Genomic DNA, 18,753 nt, shown 5'->3' with positions numbered 1-18,753 from the left:
TTTGCAAAACAGCACATTGGAATATAGAATTGTTGGATTTTTATCTATGCAAAAAAAAATCTAAATTTCAAATATTTGCCTTAGGTGATCCGAAAGGGAGAAGTCAGCTGTTGTTGGACCTGTACACCTTGTAAGGAGAATGAGTATGTCTTTGATGAGTACACATGCAAGGCATGCCAACTGGGGTCTTGGCCCACTGATGATCTCACAGGTAATCTATCACAATCTCACCACATATAAATTAACTGAAAAATGGTGCAGACGTGGGAGAGGGGGGTCACATCCCCAAGCGTTACTCATCTTGGGTAGTCTTATTTATGGAACAAATAATTTCCTTGGGAACACAAGCTTCCCAAAGTCTGAGCTACTTATTCAAATCTTCAGACCTCTGGGAGAGATCTGCCTATATGTCTGTCTTCACTCCAAAATTAGATCAGTATTCCTAGCTTGTCTACTGGGCATTCTTCCCTCATGCCCAGGACATTCCCAGAAGTTCCTAAATAGGGTCCCAGTTATGTGTGTCATTTTAGGTGAAGAGAAAGAAGTTTTAGCCAGTGAGAAAAATATGTCATGACATATCCAAGAACAAAAAGATATCACCGAATTGGGCAGAATGTCATCTAAAGTTCTTTTCTTCTGTTAATTGTTTTTATTAATTGAAATCAGGAGTCTCCAACTAATATGCTTTTAAGTATTGTTGGCACAGGGAAAGACTTGATTTTACTTGTTTATTTTTTTTCTTTTTTGTTTTGTTTTAGCTTTTGCTTCTTTGTGCCAACAGATGTTAAAGAATATGTCATCATGTTCTCCAGTCTATATTTCATAGTCTTTTCTAATTTTTACAATATATAAACAGAATATGATTCCTTTCATACTGTCTTCCAATTTTTCTTCAATAAACATTTATTAAATGCACTCATGTGCTTATTTTCCTACCACTAAAATAAAAATATAGAAATAAAAGTACTACCTCTATCTTAATGAAGTTCACAGATTAATAAAGGAGGCAAAAAAGTAAAAATATGATTACAATATAATAAGAGGACATAGATTTATAGACATAGGAGCATGAGGAGGGCACCCATGAACTGAGTATGCAAGAAAAAGAGGAAAAAAGCCTTGCAGGCAGAGAGCCCTCCATGTGGTATGTCAGGTTGTCTAGTGGTTTTAGAATTCAGATGGATTTAGCACAAAACTTCTAGAGGCTAGAAGATCATAAAGTCATCAGTATTAGACTCCATCCCTCCCAGGATGAATGATTTTACTCATAGTAGTTGTATTCACTTATTTAAAAAGTCTGGTTATTAAAAATTCCATGATCCTGGGTCTTTCAAGACAGCTCACCTTTCTTTGGTGATTGGTATGTATACAGGAGACTTTTCCTTTTCTTAAAAAAAAAATCTGATTTAATAAAACATCCAAGTGCCTTTTGATCGCATTTGAATCTTATTTTTGCCATTAGACTGTGAGCTTTCTGATGCTCTTATTCATCCTGTTTTCCCCAGTTCTAAACACAAAGCCTTAAATAAATTTTGTTGAATAGATGATCTATAGTGTACCTGTGTGCACACACACAGTAAAAATGCCAAAAAGAAAAAAATACTATGATTGGTTTTCTTGAAGAAGGGTGAGGAGCAGTATTCCTATCTTTTCTTTATACTATTTATTTACATGTTTTTCTAATTTTAAACTGGATTATTGTGAAAATAAAAAACTGTCTTGCATCGTCAACTAACTTGCATGGCTAAGCACCTTGTGAATGAATATACAGATGTAACTTTTTGTCTCATGTTCTGTAAGACTATGATATTGAGAATGAACACACACTTTCATTATTTCAACAGATAAATATTTTATTATTACTATTTCCATTATAATATTAGGTACTTGAGAAATTGAGGTGGAAAAACAGCAATGCTTCCTGTGTCACTTGTTGCCTATATCCTGGTCCTCATACATCTTACCATCTTGTGGGGAAAGAGACATAAAACAACACATGCACATGGCTAGTCAGCTCTTTGTTTGCTAATGGGCTATTTGTGTGCCTCACTGACAAATTATATATGAAGTCAAAGAACAGGAATAAAAACATGGAAATATCCGAGAGGTCGTAATTTAAATTTGTGGTCATATAATTTCTCTCTGAAGAAGTAAAAATTAACTGCGACCTAAATTATAAATATAAATATTTAGCAAATAATAACTAAGAAGAAATTTCAGTCTGGGGTAACAGCACATGTGAATGTCTGTATATGGGTAAGCAGGTAGGAGAACAGTGTCAGAAGAGGTGTTCTCATCATCTCATATTTAAATATTGCAGTAACTTTCCAATTTATTCCCTTGCCCCTAGATTTATGCCACATGCCTCTTAATCCACTTTTGATCTTGCTATTTTTTCAGGAAGAATTCAGGTCTTTTTTTAATGACAGGAATGGCACAGTTTATTATTTTGAGACAATTGTTGCAGACATAAATATTTAAAATTTCCTAAGCAAGGTGCTTTTAACAACAAAAATTTTTAAAGTTGGAAAGAGCCAATAACTTAGATCATAGCTCACACAGAATAACAAATCAAAGTGTACTCCATTATCTCCCTAGATTTTGCAAACAATGCTTTGTCTAACACTTCTTTAAAACAACAAAGGAGACAGCAAGCTGAAACTTTTTCCAAGCACACAAGAAATGGTGTCATCACATTACTTGAAGAAGGTGCTGATGGGAGAAGATGATCTTGCTACTGAATAATGTATCCAAAATACAGATCTGTCTTTTTTATTTCCTTGCTCATGTAGGAGAAAGTAATTATCGTTTCTTCCCAGCCTAGGTTTGTGGATTAAATCCTTGGAACAAAACACAAACTAACAAGAGAAAAGCATGTACATTTATTAAAGATAAGTTTTACATAGGGAAAGGAAAACACAAAGAAACAGGAAAACTTGTGTATTTTTATGCTAGGTTTGATAGAGAAGTGGTAAGTCATTGAGGAGTATGATTGGATTAAAAAAGCATGATCTAATGATAGTTAGCTGGGGAGAACTCAGCTATTCGTGTTTGTTCAGATTGCTGTCAGTGACCTTGCATTTTTAGAGATATACAGATGTTCACTTCCTCTGGGTACAGAGAGAGAACCTGTCAAATGAGAGTTTTATGACCTGCTTCAGGGGAGAATGCTGGGGGGAAGGTGAGAGTTACCTTCCTGCTTCTGCTGTTTTCTCAAATGCCAAGGTGCCACACTTCAGGGTAGTGTGTCCTGAATCCCATCACTCAAAACTTACCACTGGTTTTATAACTCTGTATGATATATTCCAAGCTTTCAATATGACATACAAAATGTCCTCTTTCCCACCCTCCTATGATCTTTCTAGTTTCAATCACCACTGCTTTCCATCTTTCATTTTACATTCTGTTGTCAAAGACTGCTGATAATTCTCATCCACACAGAATGCTATTTTATTCCTCCCTGTCTGTGTACATATTGTCTTCTCCACCTGGAATGTGCTTACCCCTCTTTCTTTACTTGAGTAACTCCCACTTACCCTCCCTTACTCTGTTCAGGTGTTACTTTCTCTATGAAGCTTTCTTTGATATACTTAGACTGCTAAGTTTCCCCTTCTGTATTTCTAAAACAAATTCTGCTTTCCCCTTTAAATCACTTTGCAAACTAAATTTTAATGATCTGTATACATATCTGCCACTCCTACTGAAATGTTAGTCTCTCATGGACATAGCTGTCCCTTAAACATATTTGTAATCTCAGCACCTAATACAATGCCTGACATAGAGTAAGCTTTCGGTAAATACGTGTCAACCTCCAGTAAAATGATGGAGAGTGTTACAAATGAAGATTAAAGTAGGTATTAAGGCCAGCCTGTGAGTAAAGCCTTTAACGAGTTTGGAATTTATCCTATATAGACAGTGTGGGGCCAGTGGAGGTTTTCAGACAGAAGAATAAAATGATTTGTCTCTGGCTAGGTGCATACATGTGAGTGTGTGTATGTGTGTGGGTGGTCTGGGTAGGGGAAAAATGCCAAACCTAGAAATGCCTTTGCATTGATATTATGTGAAGTTTAACCTTTAACTGGAATCTACAGCACTTTTCCAAAGAGCCTATAGCTGTGTGCAAGCCCACCTCAGTGACTCTGATTCAAAGTAACACATCACTCGGAATTGCTAGCTAGAAGAACATCCTGATGGCTTCAGCTATTCCAAAGCCTGCCACAGAAAGGCTTGGGGCCAGTTTTAGGAAATATTGCAAGCCTTTCTTATATGCACTTGGCTTATAGTTACCTTACTTCAGCCTATAATGTGACAGCTCAAGTTACCTTTGGGTCAGTGCCTTCATTGTGATAATAACAACCAGTACATATATAATGCTTTCTATGTGACAGGAACTGTTTGCAGCATCTTGGAAATGTTATTTCATTTTATGTCAACACAATCCTATAAGATTATCAGCATGGCTAAGAGATCTCAGCCCACCTGGAATTAAACAATTGTTCAGAAAACAACTTAAAGTAGCAATCAACTGACATTAATGTCTACCTATATATTTAGCCATATACTTTTTGTATGTGTATATATTTTTTTCATAGAAATATCCTAAATGAAGGCTACCTAACGTTAAGGTGTTTACAGGTGGTAGGATTACAGGTTCCTTTTTTTACACATAAATACATGTGAATATGTGTGTGTGTGTGTGTGTGTAAACATGTATGCAGAGGATTGAATGATATTATGAGAATGTATCTTCATCAATAAAAATCATTAAAATGATGTTTAAGCCAGCCATATTCTCAATAGCAGTCATAAATTCTTAGGAACACCAGAATTAGGTAGACAAATAAAGAATCTGGTATGAAAACCAAGAAGACATGAAAGAAATGAGAAATAAATGGAGGATGAGGTCAGAACATAGCCCATGTCCTCAATTCAACTTATTTTCATTGAGGACAGCAAGCAGTTATTCCTTTGTCTTATAATTAACAGGTACCTATGCTAGCAGTAAATAGGATAAAGAGGATCCCTGCCCTCATGGAGATAATTTTTCCAAATATTGAAAGTAATAATAAGATACTGAATATTGACAACAGAGAAGGCCAGAATGGTGTGAGAGCCCATAACAGTAAAAGCTAACTTAGGTGATATTTAAAATTGCCTCTTCAATGAATTGTGGGCATGCAAAAATTGGAGTAATGATGGGAGCTGGCCAAACTAAAATGAAAGAGAAGAGTGTTGTGGACACAGAACACAGGAACTGAAATGGAACTGAGAGTATAAGGGAGAAATGAGACAAGAAAGCAAAGGCCACCTTTTGGGGAGCCTGGTAAACTATGGTAAATATTTTAAAGTTTATCTTAAGGGAAATTTAAAAAGATTTATTCATTCAGTCATCTAGTCATTCATTCAATAAATGTGTATCTAGCACTTTCACTGTTCCAATTGCAGGGGAGGAAATATATATTTTCCCTCTATCCATCTTAGGTTCATTGGCTGGGGCCCCTGTAACTAAAAATAGATTAACAAAAGAAAAGCATACACATTTATTTAATATAAGTTTTATGTAACACTGGAACCTTCCTAAGGACCTGAAGAAGCAGTTAAACCTGGCTGTTCGTATGCTAGGTTTGATGTAAAATGAAGAGTTGTAGAGAAAGAAGATAGGACAAAGGGCATAAGTAAACTCAGGTAAACTTAGCAAGGCCTGTTCCTTCAGACTCCTCTGAGATAGGGATGCTCCTTCCCTCCAGGTCTAAGAAGGGCACCTCTCACATGAGGGTCTTATGACCTGCTTCAGGGGTGAAGGGTGGGAGAAGGACATAAAGTCTTTCTGCACTTGCTGTTTCTCAAATTCCTTCAGCTTAAAAAATTCAATATGCCAAAGTGCCATATTTTGGAGTAGAGTGTTGTGAACCCCATCTCAGGCAATGTTCTAAATGCTGAAAATATTTCTATGAACAAAACCAGTAAAATTATCTGTTCTTATAATGTTTACATTCTAGTGGAGAGAATAGTTTTAAGCAAGGTGATTATCTCCAGGAATATTCAAAAATTGAATATGAAAGAAAATGTGCCAGGTGCAGTGGCTCATGCCTGTAATCTCAACACTTTGGGAGGCTACATTGGGTGGATTACCTGAGGTCAGGAGTTTGAGACCAGCTTGGCCAACATGGCAAAACCTTGTCTCTACTAAACATACAAAAAATTAGCCAGCCACGGTGGTGCATGCCTGTAATCCCAGCTACTCAGGAGTCTGAGGCAGGAGAATCGCTTGAACCTGGGAAACTTAGGAGGCAGAGGTTGCAGTGAGTGGAGATCATGCCACTGCACTCCAGCTCGGGTGACAGAGCAAGACTCCATCTCAAAAACAAAAAGAAAAGAAAAGAAAAGAAAGAAAATGCAATCATGATGGGCTGCTTTATAAATATTATTTACATAGTCACAATGTGAAGAGTAGATATTGTATAAAAACATGAAAAGGAAGGATACAGATTTCAGAATAGCAGTATCATCTAGTAAGAGAAGAAAGGGAGTTAGATGGGAGTTACAAAATAGGTTTTAGTTATAGCTTTAGCATGTGTGTGTGTGTGTGTGTGTGTGTGTGTGTGTAATTTGAAACATATGACAAAATATTAACATTTTTTAATATAGATTTTATTTGTTCCATACCATATACTTTTCTCTGCATATTTAAAAATTTTATAATTTAAATGATTCCATACTATTTGCGCTATTTAAATATTTAACACTAAAAGATAAGATTTTAAAATATAAGACTAAGTTGGGAATTATAAAGAGAGGATAAGGGTAAGAAAATTTTGCAAAAATCCATGTGAATCTACCAGTGGTTTGGGTAAGGATAATGTAATGTGAATCAAAAGCAACAAAGATTTGATTAGGAATTAAAATCAATAGAACAAGGTAATTAGTTCTCAGAAAAATGTAGTCTGGTTTGAGAGAGAAAGGAGAAAAAGTAATAAAAGGCAACAATTTGAGCTAGACGTTCAGAGAATTATCTGAAAAGCATTTGCCAAGACACTTTTTCTGGGACACCATTCCCTGCCACATATCTGCAAAAACTGTCCTAGAAAGAATTTTTTATTTGTTTTGTATCAAAGAATTTAGGAGGAGATATAAGTAGTAAGAGCTCTAAAGATCTTTAGGTCCCCAGTCCAAAGCCACAGAAACACTTACAGGTGGGGCTTACCAGATGCTGCCAACCTTCCAATAAACTAAGTAAAAGGAAAGAGCAAAAATAGCCTGTCTTTCAAGAAGTAACCAGGTGGGAAGTCCTATGACAGGAAGTTAGCATTATCTCCTGCTTTTCAATCATAAAAGAAATGTATCTTACGTAAGTCCAAAGCTGTAAAACGCTTCCATTTTATTCCATCCAAGGCAATATGTATCAACAGCTTAATGTCAATAGGGACGTTCTCTAGGAAGTTCCTTTGGTTCCCTGAGTTACCTAATTGCTTTGGAGGTTGGAACATTTGTCTCTTCACTTAAGAGGAAAAAAGCCGCAGAGTTAAACAAAGAGATGTTGGTAAGAATCAAGGAGGGAGCAGAGGATGAGCTCCAAGAGGTGTAACCACTGGCAGGTTTTATAACTCCCGCATTGGAATTGCTCTCTTTTTACAAATGTGCATTTAATTTGTGTTCCTCAGCTTGTCCTACTTTTCTTGGGACTTTTTTTTTTTTTGCCTTTTAATAAATAAGCACATTAAATAAAAACATGGGGAAGATTTCTTTTCATTTCCAATTATTATAACTATCTTAAGCATTACCTTTTTTAATCCTTTAAGGTTGAGATTATTATTCTACAGTTGAATGAAACAAAACTCAGGAACATTCTATACATGGACAAGACCACAAAACTGGTGGAAAAGAAATCCCAGGTGCTATGATTCTGGGGTTTTTATGCTATACTACCTGTCTCTCTCCACAATCACATTTTAGAGCCCCATATTTTCAGGAAATTATAGAAGGAAAAAAAATCGGCTTCAAGCTGGTCACATGTTAATTATCTCCAGGCTGCTCTGATATTTTTTATTCCAAATGTGCTTAAAATGTGTTATTTGACTATTATAATTAAACTTAGATGAGGAAAGGAGGGAAAATTCTTGGCATCTATTAAATATTATTTGTTTATGATTCTTTAGAGGAAATTTCTGATGAGTTTTGATGAGAAATAAGTTTAGTTTATTATTACAATTTTAATAAATATTTCTTGTTAATATTGAAACTGGAATAGCTTTCAGAATTCTGCTATCTAGCTTCTTGGTTTCTAGGTTAGATAGTAATCTGAACAGGAGCATATGCTATACAGCTGGCTATCTATCATTCATTAATTCATTCAGCAAAAGATTTTATCACATTCCTACTCTTTTTTTAACACTGTGCTAAGTTCTGATGATACAAATATAAATGGAAGGTACCTAACCTTACTTAAATAATTGCATTAAATTATACATATAATGCATACAATAGTTAAACCACACACCAAATGCAGTGGTGGCACAAAGGATGAAATTATTCATTAGCACATATTTGAGTTCCAACTAGTGCCAAACATAGCACTAGATCCAGTATTGGGCACACAATGGTGATCGAGCCCCACTTCCTACTCCCAAGTATCGCAGAGCCTAGGCAGAGACATATGCAAATAAAGAGGCAATTTCAATACATTAAGTATCCCTGCCATAGTGTAGGAACCAATTTAATGTTTGTATAATGAAGGAATAAAAGAGAGGAGAGGAAATGAAGAAATGAATGAAGGAAGGAAAGAAAGTGCTAGGATGGGAGTAAACGTTGATGAGAGGAAATTAACCAGGTCTTGGAAGTTCAGAGGTAGCTTCTGGGTGGAAAGGGAATTCATGTATGTGAAAATAAGATGCTAACCAGGTAAAGCAGAAATGAATTTTCAGGCAGAAAAAAAGACCATAAGGAATGATACATGTCATATCTAAGGAATGTATGTGTGTCTCAAAATATTTTTTCCAATATAACATTCAGAGCAAGTACACCACCATTTCACGGTCGCTTTTTCATCAAAGCCTCTATTATGGGAACTATCCTTTCCTAAATACCAAACATCATAATGGTGATCAGCTGTAAAAGAAAGTGACTTTTGTTTAACAATAGAATTCCCAGGTCTCTAAGCACTTTTTAGGTTTCTCTAGATAAGTTCACTACATTACACACTCACCAGTACAATCTAAGGAAGTTGAATTTATGGCAAATGTAGTGTAACAAAGTACAGCTGAGAATTTGTGCTGCATAAAATACCAATCTGCAACAATTCATCTTTATTTTCTTCTAAGAGTGTAGTGGTTTAAATCAAAAGGTTTTGGAGTCAAACATGCCCATGTTCAAATTCACACTCCACCAGTGACTCATTGTGCGACTTAAAGCACGGAAATTTTTATCTGTGAGTGTCAGCTTTCTCTTCCATAAAATTGAGATAACAGTAGTAACTAGTTCATAAGATTATTAGAGCTATTTTATAGCATACAAAAAGTTTCGTATGCATTAACTGTTCAAGAATACTATTATCACTCTACTGTTAATAAAGTTTTTAAAATATAGTGATGAAAAATGAATAGAGAGATAGATGGATTGATTTAAGAATGAATGAAGAAGAAAATTTGGGGAAAGTTTTAACCTGTGTTTATTTATTTATTTATTTAAATTTATTTATTTATTGAGATGGAATCTTGCTCTGTCGCCCAGGTTGGAGTGCAGTGGCACATCACTGTCTCAGCTCACTGCAACCTCCGCCTCCCGGGTTCAAGCAATTCTCCTGCCTCAGCCTCCTGAGTAGCTGTGACTACAGGCGCATGCCACCATGCCAGCTAATTTTTTGTATTTTTAGTAGAAACAGGGTTTCACCTTGTTAGTCAGGCCGCCTCAGCCTCCCAAAGTGCTGGGATTACAGGCGTGAGCCACTGTGCCTGGCCTAACAGGTGTTTATTAAATGTCTTCTACATTTGAAAGTAAGATCCCTTTAAGTCAATGACTGTCTAGCACAATCAATGGCAGAGAGTAGACAATTTTTATTTGTTGAACTAAGCTTACTGTTATAAACATCTCTTTTAACTTCGTTTAGATTAGCTTCATAGCCCTTCTGATTCTAAATGAATAAATTGCAGAAGTTTAATGGTGACTTGGAAATCCCAGAAAGCCGTAAGCCGTGACAATACTACACAGCACCTGCCATTTGTTTTTCTATCTTATCATTGTCCCTGATAAAAAAGGTTTCTAGTTTCACTGATCACTTCATTATACACTTTTGATATTTTCCTCACTGGCAAAATAAAAATAAAAAAATAACCTTCCCAAAAAGGATCTAGCATCTATTGCCACTGATATTTTTACATTTATGAATTTCAAATAAAATGAAGGCTATTGTGCTGAAGTGCTCCAGAGCTCAGTGTTGATCCTCTTTTCTGTCTACACTTGCTTCACTGGTGATCATACCCAGTTTCATTCATGTCATTAAATATCATCTACACAATAAACATTTTGATGTAAAGTATCTTGTCCAGATCTCTCACCTAATCTCCAGACTTAAATATTCCATTGCCTACTTGACATATTTATTTGAATATCTAATAGATATCTTAAATTCTACACTTCCATCACTGAAATCCAGGTCTTTACCTTCTTAATCTCCCAGGCTGCTTTATCCTTACTATTACATTTCATCTGATAATAAACCCGTTCTTTCATTAGGTAAGACCAATAACTTTGGAGTCAATCTACTGACGTCTTGCACATCCTTTAGTCAGTAAAGAAATCCCATTGGCTAATCCTTCATATCCCAAATTCCACCACTTCTCACTACCTCCAGTAAAAGTGTCTAACAATCATCATTAATCATCTTTCTTCTGAAAATAACCTCCTAACTTTTCTCCTTGATTCTACCCTTGCCCCTACTTACAGTCTCTCCTCAACATTCCAGGCAGAGATATCTTTTTACAAAATAAGCCAGGTCATGTTACTCCATTGTATAAGGATCTACAATGATTTCCCATTTCATTCAAAGTAAAAGCCAAAGTACTTACAAATTCCTGTTTTGTATGACCTGGTCTTCTGTCATGTGTCTGACCTACTTTTCCCTTCACTTCATCTGGTTCTTCCTCCCAATACATTGGTCTTTTTGTTCTTCCATTAAAAGGTCAGAAAGGCTCTTATCCCAGGGTAATTTCCCTAGCAGTTATCTGCCTGGAAGGCTTTACTGCAGATAACCACATGACCACTATTCTTTCCTTCCTCAAGTCCTTGCTCAAATGTCTACCCTGAGCAACCCGTTTAATACTACAAACTAACCCCCCTCATATCCAGTTCTACCTCTTCTTTTCTCTACCTCTTATATCACCTCATACTATTTTATATTGTTTATGTGTTAATGTATTTTCACTGATCATATACTGTTGATCCTTCAGCTAGGATATAAGCCAAAATACAGTAACTTTTGTATATTTTCCTCATTTGAGAATACCAGGCTGCTAGAACACAGTAGATATTCAATGAATATTCACTAAAGAAGTGAATACAGGATGGAAGAAAGGTAAGAAATCCCCATGTATTGAGTACCTGTCACCTATCAGAATAGGAAGTTTGTGTTCTATCACCTAATCCTCCTGACAGCTCAAAAAGGTTGGAATCCCTACTAGGTACCCATAAAAATTAAAATTATAAAAATAAACTTTAAAAAAGGTTGGAATCATGATTTCCATTTTACAGAAAATTGAGTTTGAAAATTGAAAATATCCATGCTCATGATCACACAGTAAGCAGGAGAGTAAGGCTCAGACCCTGTTTCATCTTTCTGTAAAACTAGTGCTTTTTCCTTGACATGATGCTGCAGGAAATATGGAAGTGATTGTGAATCAATGGATTCTTTCTAACAGGATCTCTAAAATGCAATGAAAAATTTTGTGCACTGTCTTTTTTTTTTCAAACAGTTAGCTTGATAAAGTTGTTTCAGTTAGCACTAAAAACAACAATGTTGTGTTCTGGTTCTTTTAAAATGAGATTCCAGGGCTTACACATTGATAAATTCTAAAATGCCTTCTTACTCTTCCAATTTCTCAACGTTCATTAACTTTTAATAATTTTCTTCCTACAAGATGAGTCAAAAAGTCAGTATATTTAAACTTGTAAACGCCACTGACTAAAGAAGAAAAAAAGGGCTGAAAGCCCCTCTCTTAGTGGAACTTATCAAAACAGGTCCCTGAAAAGAACATAAACCAGTTTTCATCTTGCCAGAAACCACTCGATGAAAAATGTTCACCATGTTCTTCTTCACAATGATAAATTTGTGGTCTGACCAAAACAATGGCATTGTGGTCAAAAACCACTCTGACATGGCCAGACTGAAGACAATAATGTGATTTCATTGATTTCAGTTTTTGGTCAATGTAGCTTACCCAAAATAAATTATCACATTTTCCCCTTAGAACAAGAAACATTATGATACAGTGCTAACTATTGCATTATCTAACCTACTTGGAAAATGCTTCACAAAGCATTGATATATTATATGAGTAATATGAAGCAGATAAATTCCTCCTATCTTGACACCTCTTAAAAAATCACATTAATTGAGGTGATGAAAAATTCAAAGCATTATGGGCTGTCTTGTACTTACAGACAATTTAAGACAACATAATACCATTTACTTGGGGCAACACATACCTAAACAAGCTAGAGAGAGAAAGTAGCCTGGCTTTTCCCCAGAATAATAAAGGATAATCTAATAAAACAGGCACTTTAGCAGATGTTGAGTCACACCGTTTTGTATATACACTTCCCCATTTCCACTTTCTCTCACTTCATAATTATTATGCCACTGTCCAATTTATTTTATATGGTCCTCACACTAATCCTTGAGATGTAGGCAGATAGGTATTATCACCTTCCCTCCTAAAGCTTTTGCTAATTCCCCATCTGAACTATCAGCAATAATTCCCAAAGACATTGTAATTCTCTTGATACATTACTATGCTGTAGAGTTTTTTCCTCTGCATATCTGACTTTTGCATTTTGGCTGTTTCCTTTACATTTCTTCTGCTTTTCTCTATGTCTGTGTTTCTCTTTCTATGGTTCCTTTCAAATGCTCTTTAGTTCCAACAGAAAATAGTTTCCTTAACTGAAAATAGATGAAATAATGGTCCCTATCGCATGAGGACCTTGTAGGTATTAAAGAAGGTAATAAGAATAAAGTGTTCAATACAATGACTAGCAGAGTAAAGTCACAGAGCCTGAGCATTTGGTCAATACATTATTTTAAAGGAACAAACAATTACCTTTCTATCACCATAGTGTGGACCAAGTGGTATGAATGGTGTAGGTGCTCAAGAGTGAAATGCTGTAGCTGTGCTGTGTGAACAATGTTCAATCTCTTTAATGGGTGGGATGAGGCATTAATCTTTCCCCTTGTACATTTTTCTTACATGTGTGCACTTTGTCCCCATATTTTCTTTCTGTAATAAACATGAGCATTTGAATAGTTAAATGTATGCCCATAGCTCAACTGGAGAATACTTAACGATACTTAAAATTTAGGAACAAATAGGCTTGGAAAGAGAAAAAGGAGGTAAAATCTGTGGCAGAATATGCATACAATTTTGCAACCTTCCTTAGGAAAGGTAATGTAATTTCAGGTCTTAGAATAGTCCTGGTATGCCTCAAAGGAAAAAAAAAATCAAGGGTATATGGGAACACAGAAGGAATATAGTGGGGCCTGGAGAGTGGTTGCAAAATTCTGAGTCACAAAATCAGAAAGTTATTGAACATTTGGATGGATGACCAGCTACAGTAGGAAAGTGCTTTTTAGTATGCAGCTTATTTGCAAAATAAGCAATTTTATGAGTCTGACTAAAACTGCAGGAAAGGGATCTTGACAAGGGTCTGGCAAGCTAGCAAGGATAAATAGAAATGAATCGTAAAATCCAAATTATAGCTCCTATTATGTGTGCAAAATTCCACTGATACCCTATCGGTTTTAAAATGATGAGTTTAATGTTTTATTTCAATAAAATACAAAAACAACTTTAAGCATTTTATAAATTTATTTCTGAGAAATTGCTTCACTGACCTTTTTCAGGTCATTGGTCTTTAATTTCTCATCTGTGAATTCTTCTGCAAGGGTTTCTCCAGATTAAAACCCTAATTATAGATAAGATAAGTCTGTATTATTTTCATTTTATATATGAAAAAATTGAGACATAGAGTAAAAGGCTCATATTAATAGGAAATATTTGTGTGCAAGCTGAAAATGAAGGGCATGCCTCCTTATTCCTTACTTGCCCTCTTCTTTGTTAATCATTCATTCATTCATTAAACTTATTTAACTGCCTATTGTGTGCCAGGTACTATGACTAGCACTAGAAATACAACAAGCAAAGAAACAGTCTCCTCCTCTCAAATTGCTAAATCTACCATTTCAAAGAGACAATACTAATACACAATTAGTAAGAATGCAAGTGCTATGACGGGTACAGGCCCAGGGAGCCATTTGACCACATGAGAGGAACCTGTCAGTCAGCTTCAGGGAATCAGAAAAGTCATACTCATCAAGGAGAATCTGGAAAGTAGAAGAATAAGGAGAAGTTAGCTAGTAAAAAGGGACTGGAGAAAAGTAGAAAGGGAGGGAATTATTCCAGTCAGCACGCTTTATTATTTAAATTCACATGCTGTGTTTTTCCACTCTTATCCATGTGCAGTATGACCGGAAGTCATATTTTTCAAAGCTATTTCCTACAAATGTGCATCTGTGATCACATTTCCCTTTAGTACTCTGCAGTACTATTAAATCATTCTTTATGTCTTAATTATAAAATAAATCTTTGCACACAATTTCAAATTCCCCTATAAAATATAACCAATTAAAAAAAACAAAAATAAAAACTATAGCTGTGAATTTTCAGCTCTGTGAAGGAATTCTATTAAGGAATCTAAAACGAGATGTGTAATAAACCTTGAAGGATGGGGAATAGGCTAGGTCCAATGACAAATGGATGGCTGTGAGTCTACTCTGTAGCAAAGTTGGGAATGTCCCATGAATGATCATTCAGAACATTTTCTATGCTAGAAAACTTTAGGAACCCAAGAAAAACAACTGATCAATCAGTGTCTCTGGCAGCAACTCTAAGGACATATAGCCCAGAACGAAAATCTTGCTGAAGGGTTTGAACCAATGAGATTTCTCAAGAGGAAGCATGGATTTATATCAAGATAAAGCTATCAAATATTTATGCCACCACTAGCCCCACCTTGCCCATGCAGACATTGTTAATTAATCATGATTCTGTTTCCTACTAAATAGACTCAGGACTTCTTTCAGAGGAGTAACTGGCCAAGTTGCCTCCCCTGATGTAGCAAAGATAAAATAAATAAATAAGTTAGTAGATAACCACAGAGTTTTAATCTCAGTCCCAGAAAGTTAACATATCTAATTAAGCTTCATACTGCCCCCTCTGAAAAATAGAGATAATGATATTTACCTCATTTTTTATTATGATGATTACATAAAATTTCTGGAATAACACATGATATATAGTAGGCATTCAATAAATGTTAGTCTCTTTTTTCTTTTGATACTGACATAAAGAGGAATATGGCAGCTTCCTGTTGAGGCAGTTACCAATAAAACTTGCTTAACACCTTGGATAAAGACTCTCTTTTTATTGGAGAAAGCAATCATGCCATGTTTTGTTTCGTGCTAAGGTAAAAATCAATCAACTGTAGAATATGCCTTCCTTGAAGAAAACTTGGGAACTTTTCTATTTTTTTTTTCTATGCTAAAGTAAAAAAAAAAAAAAAAGAAAAGAAAAGTTACAATTAACAGCCTCCTTAAGAAAAGTACATCTATCTGACCTTCATAGTTGGATGGCACTTTCTAAAGAATGACTTTACTGGTTACTGTCTCATTCTTTCCTCTATACATACTTCCCAGATCCAATGAATTACTCAAAATTAGATTAATCAGTCATAAAAAATGTCCCAAATGACTAGTCAGCATGAGGAATATTTCTTTTTCTTTGAGATGGAGTCTCACTCTGTCACCCAGGCTGGAGTGCAGTGGTGCAATCTTGGCTCACTGCAACCTCCATCTCCTGGGTTCAAGCGATTCTCCTGCCTCAGCCTCCTGAGTAGCTGGGACTACAGGTGCCTGCCACCATGCCTGGCTAATTTCTGTATTTTTAGTAGAGATGGAGTTTCACCATATTGGCCAGGCTTGTCTTGAACTCCTGACCTTGTGATCCACCCACCTCGGCCTCCCAAAGTGCTGGGATTACAGGCATGAGCCACTGCACCTGCCCACGAGGAATATTTCTAATATGAAACATGTCACGTCCCTAGGCAGAAGTAAGTTTTTGAGCTGCTTATCTAGTTTTGCCCTCTTTGGGTTCCAGAAACTAGACTCAAATTCAGGTGTAGTGAATTGATTTTAGACTTCTGCCTAAAACACTACATAATAGTTCTGTAACTTGGGACTTCTAAAGGCAACGCAAAAGTTTTTTGAGAATGACTTATCCATGCACTAGAATTAGAATTCTATATTTAATTGTATACAAAATATATTAATTTGTAAAATGCTATATTAACCATATGAGTGAGGCACTGTGCTCAGTACTGAGGACCCGTTTGTGTGCAAAAGAGACAAACTCCCTATCATCAGGGTGCTTCTAGTCAAGTAGAGAAGACAGACCTTAATGATACAGTCAATCAAACTCCCCCTACCACAAAATAGATTATAAATACAGTAAGTGCTACAGAGAGAAATGAGTTTCCTCAATGTCTCACAGCACACACAGACACCCACCATTTCAAATTCTCTGAATTATGGAAGTGATGAAAAACTTTAGCTCAGGCTAAGTAAAGAAAAAATATTAAAGGATCAGGGATATGAACACTAGACACAGAATTCTGATTCTGTATCACCCTGTGATCCCAGTTCAACATCCATGAGATCCAAATCCAGAGAGGTAAAGAAAGAAGGAAAGGCAGAAAGATGGCTTATTAGTTAAATAGATGGAAAGCAAGCATGATGTTGTTAGTCACCAGTCAACACCTTGTGCTCTGGACAGATCTGTTGCTCAAATATCAAAGAGGAAACCCACAACAGCCCCTTGTCAGTTCTGTATCCCCATATTAGTTTTAATAGATCAGTTTTTTATAATCTATCTTATATCTTCCTTCTCATTGTATACCTGAAATGACCTAACCAGCAGCTGAGAGCACATACATCTTATTCTCAGAGATTCTAAACAGCAACTTCCTTTATCCAAAATATACAGGAATGTAGGAGCTTGGTAAGGAGCTCTTGTTCAGCCCAATTTACAGAACATCAGGCATCTCTCCCTGAAGAGACACTTGGAACAGGGTTTGAAAAATGCAGCAGTCTAGAAACTAGTAACTACAGGAATATTAATACTGCAAAACTAACAATCTAAGCATGAGTACCAGCTGTGAATGAGGAGTCACATCATTTTTAGGGGTCCAGAAAATCAGTAGATCATCCATTCTGCTATTAGACTTATGGGGAACACATTAGTGAAGTAATAGAATGAAAGTGGACAATATAGTTTTGGCAGCTCACTTTCCCTCTTTAAAAAAAGAAAAACTTGTCTTTTCAATATATGTCAGTTCAAGTTTTGAAAAGATGGATTATACAAGAGAACCACAGACTTACGAATCAAGTATAAAAGGGAAGAAAAATTAAAAGTGAATAGATACCTAAATAGATGTTATTAGAAAATGGACCGCAGTTTTCTAATCCATGTTTCATCTGCATTTCTAGAAAATAATATAATACTGTGCATTTTCTGAGAACCAGAGAAATGGCAATATGCTTGTTAGGAAGGAATTTCACTGACATGATCAAGATTATTTAATTTAAAATATAATAACATATGCTAAATTGATTAAATTCATAATAAAACTATACATTATATGCGCTTTAGACTCTTAGGTAACCTCTACATACACTTCCAGTAACTTACCATTACAGTAAGGATGAAACAGGGATAAAAAATACAACCATTGATGGAAAAAATGCCCAGTGATTAGAAGAAAATAAGGAAGTTAGGAACAATAACTACACAGATATTTGTACAACTGTGTACATAGTAAGGGTAGTTATCACTGAGAATTTAAATTTATATCATAATGAGGTTAGCATTATTTCAAGATTCTGAGATTTGGTAGACCTTGTTTCATGTTAGAAAGTATAATATCCCTTATTCAAAAGAAATAAATCTAATACTAGTGAAGGGAAAAAAACATATAATTATCTAATGTCAGAAGAGATATCTGTGAACCTGAAGCTTGAAGCTTTGTGCAAGCTATTTGGGTAAGAATTTTAAAAAGTAAAACAGAACTGATATTGTTAGAGGAGACTGTGGTGGGCCATCCAATTAATACTTTCCTTTGGCTTCTGATACACTTCCTTCCTTCTGTCTGATGTTACATCTTCTCTGACATATTCTCTCCCTCTCTCATTCATTAGTATTGGTGTTACACCAGACTGCTAGGCTCTGCTCTCATCCACATCTAAGAATTTCCTCATTGGTTGTGTTTATTTCCATGTCTCTTATTTTCAGCTTCTATAAAAAGATGATTCCTAAAGCTGTAACTTCCACACTGATAGCTTTTCAAAGCTCACTAGGTCAGACCCAGTACAAACAGCATGCTCAAACTGGAGCTAGATATCATTCCCATGAAATGTGACCCTTTGCTTCCTAAGCC

At 35.7% G+C, this 18,753-nt stretch overlaps 1 protein-coding gene across 4 annotated transcripts in view; it reads left to right on the top strand.

The window, feature by feature from the left end:
- Positions 1 to 18,753, top strand: part of GRM5 (glutamate metabotropic receptor 5) — a 561,341-nt gene that overhangs the window by 475,171 nt on the left and 67,417 nt on the right. For all 4 annotated transcript variants that reach the window (NM_001384268.1, NM_001143831.3, NM_000842.5 and 1 more), the window contains exon 7: positions 85 to 211. In NM_001384268.1, coding sequence (NP_001371197.1) covers positions 85 to 211 — 127 coding nt within the window. The remainder of the gene's footprint in view (positions 1 to 84; positions 212 to 18,753) is intronic.

Source organism: Homo sapiens, chromosome 11, assembly GCF_000001405.40.
Source record: "Homo sapiens chromosome 11, GRCh38.p14 Primary Assembly".
Taxonomy (NCBI): domain Eukaryota; kingdom Metazoa; phylum Chordata; class Mammalia; order Primates; family Hominidae; genus Homo; species Homo sapiens.
This window is presented reverse-complemented; position numbering and strand designations above follow the sequence as displayed.